Genomic DNA, 12,755 nt, shown 5'->3' with positions numbered 1-12,755 from the left:
TGAATCGGAGTCTGAGGCAGGGAGTATCAAGAAATACGTGATTAAAAAGAAGTTAAAGATGAATAATAGCATTCAAATCCACGTTAGAGAGAATGTTGTTGAATGTCAAATGAGGGATGTGAAGAACCCACCTAAGGTATGTTCCCAGAATGAGACCCTGTCTACAAAAAAAAAAAAAAAAAAAACAGTGCTCATTAGCCTACAGTTGGGAAAAATCATCTAACACAAAGCCTATTTTATAATAAAGTACTGAATATCTCATATAATTTATGAAATATTAAAGTGAAAAATAGAATGGTTGTATGAGTATTCAAAGTACATTTTCTGTGGATACTTTTGTATCATCATAAAGCTGAAAAATCATAAACCACATAAGTTGGGGAACATCTATTAGTCTGAAGCAATGGTTAACTTAATAAACATATATATATGTATGTATGTATATACACTTCAGCCCTATCCTGGATCTCCTGCATTAGAACCTCCAGGGGTTCCCTGCTTCTCCCACTGAGGTGGTATCAACAAGGGTGGAGCAGGAAGCTGAACTGTCACCTTCACCCAGTACCAATGAGGTAGTAGGAGATGGCACAAGTCAGTGCCCCACTCTTTCTGGGGTGGTGCCAGCAAACCCAGTGGGGTAGCTGAATTGCAGTCCTATCTGGTAGTAACAAGGTGGTATGAGGCAGTGCTAGTCAATGCTGCACTCGCCCTACACCACCACCAGTGTCGACAGAGCCTAGAAAGGAGCTGAACTACCACCCCCACCTGGCACCAATGTGTTGGTACAAGTTGACCCTCTGCTTTTGTTGAGGTGGTGTCAGTGGGGCCCAGCAGGAAGTTGAACTTCCAACCCCACTCAGGCTTGTGCACTAAAACAAAAAGGGTGACTTCCTACTGAAAAATTAAATAGAATCCAAAGTCTTAAAATATAATACCCAAAATAGCCAGGATACAAACAAAAATCATTCATCATACAAGAATCAGGACAGTCACAACTTGCATGAGGAAAGACAATCAAGAAATGACAAAACCAAGATGACTCAGATGTGGGAATTACCTGACAAGGATTTTAAAGCAACAATCAAAAATGTTTCAATGAAAAGTGAGCAATTATAGACACTCTTGAAACAAATAAAAAAATCTTAGCAAAGAAATACAAGATACAAAAGTGAACCAAATGGAAACTTATAGAACTGAAAAATACAATAACTAAAATAAACTCACTGGATGGACTCAGTAGTACATTGGAAATGGCATAGGAAACAGTCAGTAAATTTGAAGAAGAATCAATGAAGAACGGAAGTTATCCAGCTGAACAGAGAGAAAATAGACCAAAAAAAAAAAAAAAAGGCTGAGAGAGCTGAAGAACAATCACAAAGATTTACATTCATGTTGTTGGAATCCTAGAAGGAGAGGAGGAAAACTATGAGATGGAAAAATATTTGAAGAAATCGTGCTTGAAAATTCCACAAATTTGGCAAAAGGCCTACAGATCCAAGAAGCCAAGTGACCCCCCAAGAGGATAAACCCAAAGAAATCTACCCGAGACAAATCAAGATCAAACTTTTGAAAATTAAAAAAAAAAACATTTTGAAATTAGCCAGAAAGAAATTACACGTTAGCTAAAGGAGAACAATGATTTAAATGGCAGTGGATTTCTTACCTAAAACATGGAGACAAGAAAGTGGCACAATATTTTTCAAGTCCTTAAAGAACTATCAAGCTCTAATTCTAATCCAGTGAAAATATTTTTCAGGAGTTCCAAAATGGCAGCATAGAAGCAGGCTGGCTTCACTCCCCCTGCAAAAGAAAATCAAGAACAAATGTACAGTGCCAAGATTACCACCAGCAATATTCTAAAGCTCAAGTTGAAGGAAGAAGCAGTTCCCAGGGCTACAGAAAAGTGAAAAAGCTTCAAGGAGATGGTAGGAGAATCAGACGTTCATGTCTACAGTATCTCTCCTTCTAGTCTGCCTGGCACTAAGGGTGTGGAGGATTGTATTAGGGTTCTCTAGAGGGACAGAACAAATGGAATAGATATATATATATATAAAGGAGAGTTTATTAAGTATTAAGTCACACAATCACGAGGTCCCACAATAGGCCATCTGCAGGCTGAGGAGCAAGGAGAGCCAGTCCAGGCTCCAAAACTGAAGAACTTGGAGTTCAGTGTTCAAGGGCAGGAAGCATCCAGCACAGGAGAAAGATGTAGGCTGGGGGGCTAGGCCAGTCTCTCTTTCCACATTTTTCTGCCTGCTTATATTCTAGCCACTCTGGCAGTTGATTAGATTGTGCCCACCCCGATTAAGGGTGGGTCTGCCTTTCCCAGCCTACTGACTCAGATGATAGTCTCTTTTGGCAACACCCTGAGACACACCCAGGATCAGTACTTGGTATCCTTCAATCCAATCAAGTTGACACTCAGTATTAACCATCGCAAGGATTTATCTCTGACTTGTGATTTCTGCACTGGAAAAAGATCAAGGTGGACAACTAGTTTCCCTACCATGTTGGGTTTCCTGGCAGGAAATTCAACCCACCAGAAGCATCATGAGTTCCTGAAGAGAGAAATACCCCTGAGTACAGCCAAAAACAAAATGGGGAGGTGAGACTACCATCTCCAGCCCTGGACACTCTGCTGTATAACTCAACCAAAGGAAACACCAAATCAGAGTGGCTGTTCAGCAGCACCACATTGTAGGAGATAACATTGTACCGGTCCCCTGGGCACAAACCCCTAGCCAGTCACACTACCAGTGTATCCCCTTTGGGACCTCCCCCATTCAGGATGGGCAGTGCTCTGATCATTTACTAGAGCCAGGTGAACCTGGCCTTAAGGCACCACCTAGAGCCAAAAAGGAGGCAGCAATCTAGTGATAAAGGATCTCTGTCGGGGCGCAGTGTCTCATGCCTGTAATCCCAGCACTTTGGGAGGCCAAGGCAGGCAGATCGCTTGAGGTCATTAGTTCGAGACCAGCCTGACCAATATGATGAAACCCCACGTCTACTAAAAATACAAAAATTAGCCAGGCATGGTGGCGGGCACCTGTAATCCCAGCTACTTGAGAGGCTGAGTCAGGAGAATCGCTTGAACCCAGGAGGCAGAGGTTGCAGTGAGCCAAGATCACACCACTGCACTCCAGCCAGGGTGACAGAGCGAGACTCTGTCTCAAAAAAGATAAAAAAAAACTCTAAGAAAATATATCCAATAAAAAGCAAAACAAGCCAGACAGATTAGACTGGATTAAATAATCCTTCAGTGCAGAGACATAGACGTCCATCCACATGAAACAACAGCAAACAGAGAACCATGACCTACTTAAAGGGACAAAGCAAGGAATCAGTAACTGGCCCTAATGAGATGGCAGGATGTGAGCTCTTTGACCAAAAATTCAAAATAGCAGTCTTAAGGAAATTCAGCGATGTCTAAGATAACACAGAAAAGCAATTTAGAAATTTGTTAGAGAAATGTAACAAAGAGATTGAAATAATTTTTAAAAATCAAGCAGAAATCTTGGAGCTGAGTAATACATTTGTTGAACTGAAAAATTTATTAGAGGCTTTCAACAACAGAATGAATCAAGCAGAGGAAAGGATCAGTGAACATGAAGACAAAGACAGACTATTTGAAAATACACAGTCTGAGGAGAAAAAAGAATGAGAAGAAACAAAGACTGCTTATAAGATATAGAAAATTACCCCCAAAGGATCAAAGCTAAGAATTACTTGTGTTCAAGAGGGAATTGAGCAAGAGCAAGGAGTGGGAAGCTTGTTTTAAGAAATACTAACAGAAAACTTTCCAAAACTTGAGAAAGAGATAGATATCCAGGTACAGGAAGGCCAGAGAATACCAAACAGATTCACCCCAAATAATACCCCATAGAATAATCAAGCTCTCAAAGGTCAAGGACAAAAAAAGAATCCCAAAAGCAGCAAGAGAAAAGAAGCAAATAGCATACATGAAGGAGCTCCAATCCATCTGGCAGCAGACTTCTCAGTGGAAACTGTACAGGCCAGGAGGGAGTGAGATGACCAGGAGGGACTGGGGTGATATTTTCAAAGTGCTGAAAGAAAAAAAATCATGTAACAATATTGTATCCACAAAGTTATCCCTCAAATATGAAGGAGAGATAGTCTTTCCTAGACAAATAAAAGCTGAGCAAATTCAGCACCACCACGCCCATCTTACAAGAAGTGTTGAAGGGAATTCTTCAGCCTGAACAACAGCAACAAAAAACACTAATGTGCCAAAAGAAAACATTTGAAGGTATGAAACTTACTGGTTAAATTAAGTACATAGACAAACCTAGAATACTCTCATACTATAACTGTGGTATGCGGTCCACTCATAATTCTACTATGAGGCCCAAAAGACAACTATCAAAAACAGTAATAGCTGCAGCAACCTGTTAAGAGGTAGGTGATATAAAAATATGTGCAATGAGACAGCTAAAAGTTAGTATGTGGGGGGATGGAGTTAAAGTGTAGAATTTTTTTTCTTTTTTTCTTTGCTTCTGTTCTTTGTGATCTAAGATAAGTTGTCATCTCTGCAAACAACTTGTTATATCTATGTTTTTTATAAGCCTCATGGTAACCACAATGCAAAAATCTGTAATAGATTCACCAAAAATTAAAAGCAACAAACTAAAATATACTACCAGATAAAGTCACTTAACACAAAGAAAGACAATAAAGAAGGAAGGAGATACAAAACAACCAGAAAATAAGCAACAGAATGGTAGTAGTAAGTCCTTGCTTTATCAATAATAACACTGAATGTAAGAGGACTCGGTTCTCCAATTAAAAGGCATAGAAGAGCTGATTGGATAAAGGAACGAGACCCAACTATATGCTCCTTCAAGAAACCCACTTCACCTACAGAGACACACATAGACTGAAAGTAAAGGGATGGAAAAAGATTTTCCATGCAACTAGAAACCAAAAAAGAGCATGAGTATACTTACATCAGATAAACTACAAATCAAAGACTGTAAAAAGAAACACAGTCACTCTGTAATAATAAAGTGATCAATTCAGCCAGAGGATGTAACAATGATAAATATCCATGCACCCAACACCAGAGCTCCCAACTATATAAAGCAAACATGAATAGATCTAAAGGGAGAGATAGACTGCATTAATATTAGGAGACTTTAACAACCTGTTCTCAGTAATGAATAGATAATCCAAACAGAAAATCAGGAAAAAAAGAAAAAGAAAGAAAAGAAAATTGGTGTTAAACTTCACACTAGACCTATTAGGACTAACTGATATTTATAGAGCATTTTATCCATCTTCTGCAGAGTACACATTTTTTTTCTTCAGCACATGGATCATTCTTCAGAATAGACCATATCTTAGGCCACAAAACATGTCTGAACAAATTCAAAAAAGTAGAAATCATATCGAATATCTTTGCTGACCACAATGAAGTAAAACTAGAAATCAATAATAAGAGGAATCTTGGAAGCTACAAAAATACATAGAAATTAAACAGCATGTTCCTGAATGATCAGCAGGTCAATGAATAAATTAAAAAGGAAATGTTTTTATTATTTTTCTAAATATATAGATAGGATTGTGCACCCATATATTCCAGTTAACAGCCATACTTTGAAGTTGCTTTTATGCTTTGTCAAACATCTTTGTAATTATCTGACAAAGTACCAATACAATTTTAATGAAGTTACTGATAATCAAGAAACATTATGACAAATGCCTTTATACTACTCAGGAATTGCTTTTGGAATGGCAGTTCCTGTATGCTTTAATAAATATTTTCTAAATTCTAGAAGTATTTTCTATCACTGTTAGCTCGGACGGCCTGATTCTCTAGAGCTCCAGAGACAACGGGAGGCTAGGAAGAGGGCTCTTGCCAGAAAACAAGCCCAAGAGCAGCTCAGACCACAAACACCTGAACCTGTGGAAGGCAGAAAGCATGTCGATGTGCAAACAGGTGTGTGACTGTGCCCTTGGCATTGTGTCCTCTTGGTTTACTCAGTTGTCTATGTCAGTTCATTTTTATTTGGCCTTTGTATTACTTATGCCTCTCCTGTGCTCTCTGATACTTCCCCGATCACATGGTAGGGAAGTTCCTTTATTAAAGAAATACATAGACTAGGCTGGGTGTGCTGGCTCACGCCTGTAATCTCAGCACTTGGGGAGGCTGAGGCGGACAGATCGCCTGAGGTCAGGAGTTCGAGACCAGCCTGGCCAATGTGGTGAAATACCCCATCTCTACTAAAAATACAAAAATTAGCTGGGCATGGTGGTGGTCGCCTGTAATCCCAGCTACTCGGGAGGCTAAGACAGGAGAATCGCTTGAACCCGGGAGGCGGAGGTTGCAGTAAGCCGAGATCGCACCATTGCACTCCAGCCTGGGTGACAAAAGCAAAAGTCCATCTCAAAAAAAAAAAAAAGAGAGAGAGAGAGAGAGAAATACATAGACTATATACTATTATCATAGTGGATATGGCTGGAAGTCTGGGATGGGGTTTAAAAAAAACAAAAAGAAGAATTTTGGCCAAGCACGGTGGCTCACATCTGTAATCCCAACACTTTGGGAGGCAAGGCGGGAGGATCACTTGAGCCCAGGAGTTCGAGACCAAAGACGCCATCTCTACAAAAAAATTTTAAAATTGGTTGAGCATAGTGGTGCACGCCTGTAATTCCAGCTACTCAGTAGGCTAAGGCAGAAGGATCATATGTGCCCAGGATTTCAAGGCCTCAGTAAGCTATGATCACACCACTGCACTCAGCCTGAACAACAAATAAATAAATAATTTTGTGACCAAATTCTCTCTTAGCAGTTTTCACATATTCTGTTCTCAAACTGGGATCCTTTCTCATAGCCCAACATGAATCACTGTTCTTTTCATTAGGACTTACAGGAAAGGAGACCAATATAGTTCTATTTTGTCCTTTTGTTTGTCTTTTGAGATTAGTAAACCCACTCCCATCTGAGTCGTCTGCCTCTCACACCAGCCTCTTCTGTCCTCTGGTTCTGTCGCTGTGCACATTCCCCAGGGCCACACAGGCACCCCTGAGACAGGTGCCAGGATTTGCGTACTTGTCTCGCTCTGCTCAGCTGTAGAGGCTTACCTGGTCCTATAGGGTCTAGCTGTGTTGTTGACAGAATCTTGGTCATCAGACAGTGCTTGGTGTTTTCCTTGGACCACTGTCACTACTTCAGGTTCACTTTGTACCCTTCCAAGATGGTGAGTGGATCCATCGGGATTATTTCTGCATGGTAAAGGCAAAAGGGACCATTCCATGCTTTAACCCCTGCCTTTAGGCCAAGTCTAGAATGAGTGTATGGCTGTCATTAACCAAAGAGCTAAGTTTTCATGTTTCTTTACACCATCAGAATATTAAGTGATATAATAGCAGCCAGCTTTTTTTGGCTATTTCCTCAGAGACTGAACCAGGTCCTTTATCTGTGTATTTCCTTCATTATTACAAAGATTCTGTGTGACAGGTAGTTATAGCCCATTTTCCAAATGAAGAAACTGAGGCCCAGAGAGGACATGACTTGGCCAAGTCCTATGCCCAACATCTGACTCTAGTGCTCATGTTCTTTGCTTGATACCACATTACCCCTGCCTCATATAAATTACTCCTAACATGAAATTTGTTTTCATACATCTGTTTATAATCTGTAGTGTAGAGGGAATATCAAATAACCTGGTGACTTGGTACATGATTTTTTTAACTATCCAGGAATTTTCAAATCTGTATATGTTTACTATCTTAGGACTCAAATATATATATATATATATATATATATATATATATATATATAATTGACTTTTTATCCACTGTTGTACTCTGCATCTTATACACATCTACGGTCTCATGTTCTTCTTTAGTTCCATTTTCAAATACAAAGCTCAGTGCTTTCTAGACATTCAGTAAATGTTCTAGCCTAACTCTATCTATGGTCTTCCAAATATTTAAAAACTCTTAGTTCAGTATGTGAGGTAAGCCCATTTGAGCACTTTTATTCTAATACTTATTTTCTGATTCATTTAAATATGTTTTGAAGGAGCTAAAATTTCAAATACACATATATGCTTGAAATAGACCAGAATTTTTTTTTCTTTGAGACAGAGTCTCACTGTGTTGCCCAGGCTGTAGTACAGTGACACGATATTGGCTCACTGCAACCTCCACCTCCCAGGTTCAAGCAGTTCTCCCACCTCAGCCTCCCGAGTGGCTGGGACCACAGGCACGCACCACCACGCCCAGCTAATTTTTGTATTTCTTGTAGAGATGGGGTTTCGCCATGTTGGCCAGGCTGGTCTCAAACTCCTGGCTTCAAGTAATGCACCCTCCTCGGCCTCCCAAAGTGCTGGGATTATGGGCATGAACTACCATGCCTGGCCTTAGACCAGAATTTTAAACTCGATATATATGATATTCTTCTTAGAATTATACCTTGAAGAAATTGCTGATCGCATAATAGAAGTTGATATGGAATGCCAAACAGATGCATTTTTGGACAGACCACCAACACCACTCTTTATTCCTGCCAAAACTGGCAAAGATGTGGCCACCCAAATACTAGAAGGAGAGGTACAGTACATCCTTTGGGCTTCCCTCTATAATCTTTATAAATGAGGTAAAGTTAGGTGTAGATAATGCTTAATATGAGCAAGAACCACTTCACAATCAGATTCTACTTCTTGGATTTCTTTCCAGATATTATCTATAATGGTTTTATCATATAGTACTCAGAAATGTTTTAACATACCATGTTCCGATTTCTTTGCTGATTAAAAACAAAATCATTTGAAATATTTTTAGAATATTTCCACATTTGATTTTTGTTTGTTTATATGCTTGCTTAATGTATATATGTATAAGATAGATTTGTACTAAATAGGGAAAAATAATATCCCTGGTATAAAAAATTCCACAGTTAGTTGCTTTTGGATTATTTAACTTTTGTAAAGATATTCTCTCATTTAAAAAAAAAATTTTAATAATTACATTTTTCTATCAGTGTGGAATGCATAAATAGGCCTGTTTATGAAATTGAAGAAGAGAAGGCAATGATTATGTTCATAATGACCTAAGTGAGTTTTAACACTTGTGGGAACTTGAAAGAACTGTCATTGAAATTGGGAAATAAAATAAATCTTCAGAAGCTACCTGAAAGTTATATTTGCCTATAAATCCTAGCAATGAATCACCAAAATATCTCTCATTCTTGTTCCTTCATTCATCAAACTGTTATTTAAAAATAAATAAAAATCAAACAGAAAAGGCAAAGAATAAGACAGACGAGGATATTTCTCTTCAGTGTCAGGGTTCATTTTGATGAATGCGTAGGTTTTTTTCATAACTTTGACTTAACAGATTTTTGCCTGTAAACAAAATGTTGTTCATTTTGAGGATTAGAAACCATGAATAAAGCACCAGCACAGTGTCTGGCACACAGGAGACACTTAATAAATAATATCTTGTTATTGCTATTCATTATATTTTTGTTGAGCATTTGATTCGTAATTAAAATTTTAAGTTTGCTTTATTTTGTATGTTTAAGCTCTTTGACTTTGATCTTGAAGTTAAACCAGTGTTAGAAGTTTTGGTGGGGAAGACAATTGAGCAGTCTCTTCTGGAAGTAATGGAAGAAGAAGAGCTGGCTAACCTGCGGGCCAGTCAGCGTGAGTATGAAGAACTACGGAATAGTGAACGTGCTGAAGTTCAACGACTTGAAGAGCAAGAGAGGCGACACCGAGAAGAAAAAGTATATATAATTATATTTTCTTTCTTAGGCAGTCTTTTGGCTAGTTAGCATATTATGTTCAAAATTACATGTGATGATATATCATAAAACTAAAGATCTTTGGGAATATATTAGAAAAAGATCTATAGTATTTTTGCTCAAGTCTCTCCTATAGATCATAGATCTTTCATGGACGGAATTACATCTTTTAAACTCCAGCTTACATAAATATACCTAAATTGAGTTTCCAAAAGTTTCTAAATGAAGTGAAAGTTCCTAAGTTACATGTGTGCCAGTTGGAAGACTCTCTTAAATATCAGGAGTCCTAAAGAAAGAAAGATGTATGTTGGTTTGCCATAAGTCAGTGGCAGAAAGATGGAAGGAAGGAAAAAGTGAATGTATTGGAGAGAGACTGTGGGTAAAAAGCAGGGGATCTGGATAGAATTCTGATTCTTTTTCTCGGTGACCAGGCCCTTCTTTATACCCTTGGTGACACACCAGACCTATTTGGGTTCTCGTAGAATATTTTTCAGATTCTAGATTTTTAGAATCTTCAATAAGGAAAGGTTTACAATCCAGTTTTTTTACATGTGCCAGTAGCCTACAGTTAGGAAGCACTAGAAAAGATAGTCTTTCTGGTTCTGGCAATAACTGTCAGCCTTTGTTGTATACTGATGAACAAATTATAAAGTCATATCTTAATACCTGAAACAGTTAAGAAAAAATTCCCAAGGGGCCTAACTTACTATGCTGTGAAAAGTAGCATAATTGTTGGGAAATCCTACTCAATACCTATCAAATGGACTTTAATTCTAAGATGAATACTTAGTTGTGTAAAGAGCATAGGGCTTACAATAAGGATTGTGCAAATTTATAGATATAAAAAAACTGTGGCAAAATAAACTTTGTTGAAATGAGTCGTGAAGTCTTTATCAAAAAATATTTGTTTATTTACTATTTGGAAACATATTATGGAAAACTGGATACAAGAATCACCTAGATTTATATTTGTTTAAAGTTTGAAAATAGATTTAATTAGAAAACGTATTAATGCTCCCACTTCCACATGAGAGTAGAGAACAGGATTCATCACCTTTATAAATATTACATGGTCTAAAGGAAGCAACAACAAAAAATAAGAGGCTTTCATAATCTTCAGAACCATTCAGCTTTACAAATTCAGGGAATTATTACAAATGAACTCATTCATTGGCCCACTGGTAATTTTTCTTACCAGTAATATTTCATGATAATATTAATTTAAAATACATATAATGGTGATTATCTTTTTGCTACCATCTATACTGTCAAGCATTATGTCTTGAAATTATTTTACTTGAATAGTGACATGTTTTACCTTAAATTCCATCTTTCATAACTTCCTGAATTCAGTAGCCACTAGCTGTTGAAATTCATTAAATTTTTGATGAAAAATATGAACCTTTAATAGATAGACACCTCGCTGTCCATTTTTTGATAAGTCTGGATTCTTGTACTTACTAACTTCACTAGATTCAGCACTTGGGGAGGGCATAAGAGCTAAATAACCACCTCTGTCGTTCTTGGCAGGAACGGCGTAAGAAACAGCAGTGGGAAATAATGCACAAGCACAACGAGACATCACAAAAAATCGCCGCCCGAGCATTTGCACAGCGTTACCTGGCTGACCTTCTCCCGTCTGTTTTTGGCAGCCTCAGGGATAGTGGCTACTTTTATGATCCCATTGAAAGAGGTTTGTAGATATTTTTGTTAGATTAATTTTGTTGTAATAAGCATCCTCTTAATGGTTCAAATTTATCTTATGTCCATTTTTATTTTGAATTGGAGTCTTTCTATTTCTGACACAAAGTCAATTTTAGTTGTTTAAAGTAAGTACAGTTGTTAATGAGATGTATATTTTAAAGATCTTGATTTAAGGATATTAGTATTTGTTTATTGAGAAGCAACATTTGTATAGTAGAAAGAAATATGGACTTGGTATTGAAAACTTGAGTTTGGGTTGCAGCTTTATCATTAGCTAGCTTGATGACCTCCAGTTTCTTCATGTGAGAAATGAGGAATTTTTTTTTTTTTTTTTGAGACAGAGTCTCATTCTTTTGCCCAGGATGGAGTGTAGTGGCGCAATCTTGGCTCACTGCAACCTCCGCCTCCTGGGTTCAAGCAATTCTCCCTGCCTCGGCCTTCCGAGTAGCTGAGATTACAGGCACCTGCTACCACGCCCAGCTAATTTTTGTATTTTTTAGTAGAGACGGGGTTTCGCCATGTTGGCCAGGCTGGTCCTGACCTCAAGTGATCCGCCTGCCTTGGCCTCCCAAAGAGCTGAGATTAGAGGCGTGAGCCACTCGTGCCCAGCCTGAAATGAGAATTATTTAGGAGTTAAGTCATAAAATATATGAAACTGTGTAAACTATAAAGTCCTGTGTATGCGTAAGTAGTTGTTATTAACTTTTTCTCAGCTGACTTATTCAAATCAAAAACCCTTTGAGGGCAGCTATCAAGGTCATTTATTCATTTAGTTAGGCGCTTACCCTCTTCCAGGCAGTGTTTGGTATTGGAGAAAAAGAAGGATCCCTGATCTCTGCCACTAGGGAGCCCATAGCCTGATAGCTGTCTGTCTGTATCCCCTCAAAGTCCACGTTCCTAGCTGCTCAGCCAGTGGAAAGGAAGAGTTGCATGTCCTCACCACCACCCACCTTCCTCAGAGTGAAAAGCACTTACATCCACCGTGCTTGGTGTATAGGTCCTATTTTGTTGGCCAGTAGTATCTTGGGACACATGTTAGTAATGATAATTTTCACTGATTACATATTCAATTCAATACAAAGAGGTCAGATCACAGACAAATATTATTAATATACATAGTATTTTTCATAGGTGATATCATTTGATACTCTCAATAACCCTGTAGGATAGACAGGTCAGATAGAATTCCCATTTTTTCAGAAATAGAAACTGAAGCTCAGAGAAGTTAAATGCCTTGCTCCCAAATCCTCAGGCAGTGGAAATATTAGGCCTCAAACTGACT

At 38.3% G+C, this 12,755-nt stretch overlaps 1 protein-coding gene across 6 annotated transcripts in view; it reads left to right on the top strand.

The window, feature by feature from the left end:
- RSPH3 (radial spoke head 3) overlaps positions 1 to 12,755 on the top strand; it is a 37,223-nt gene that overhangs the window by 7,967 nt on the left and 16,501 nt on the right. For 3 of the 6 annotated variants that reach the window (XR_001743668.3, NR_144434.1, NM_031924.8), the window contains exons 3-6: positions 5,815 to 5,956; positions 8,429 to 8,574; positions 9,548 to 9,751; positions 11,300 to 11,462. Coding sequence is in view for 3 of the 6 variants with exons in the window: in NM_031924.8 (NP_114130.4) it covers positions 5,815 to 5,956; positions 8,429 to 8,574; positions 9,548 to 9,751; positions 11,300 to 11,462 (655 nt within the window). In the remaining 3 variants the exon portion in view is untranslated. The remainder of the gene's footprint in view (positions 1 to 5,814; positions 5,957 to 8,428; positions 8,575 to 9,547; positions 9,752 to 11,299; positions 11,463 to 12,755) is intronic. The other 3 variants (XR_001743670.3, NM_001346418.1, XM_047419393.1) reach the window with 2 other exon arrangements.

The sequence above is a fragment of the Homo sapiens genome, chromosome 6, assembly GCF_000001405.40.
Source record: "Homo sapiens chromosome 6, GRCh38.p14 Primary Assembly".
In the NCBI taxonomy this organism is placed as follows: domain Eukaryota; kingdom Metazoa; phylum Chordata; class Mammalia; order Primates; family Hominidae; genus Homo; species Homo sapiens.
Note: the sequence above shows the minus strand (reverse complement) of the source record. Positions and strands in the feature narration are given on the sequence as shown.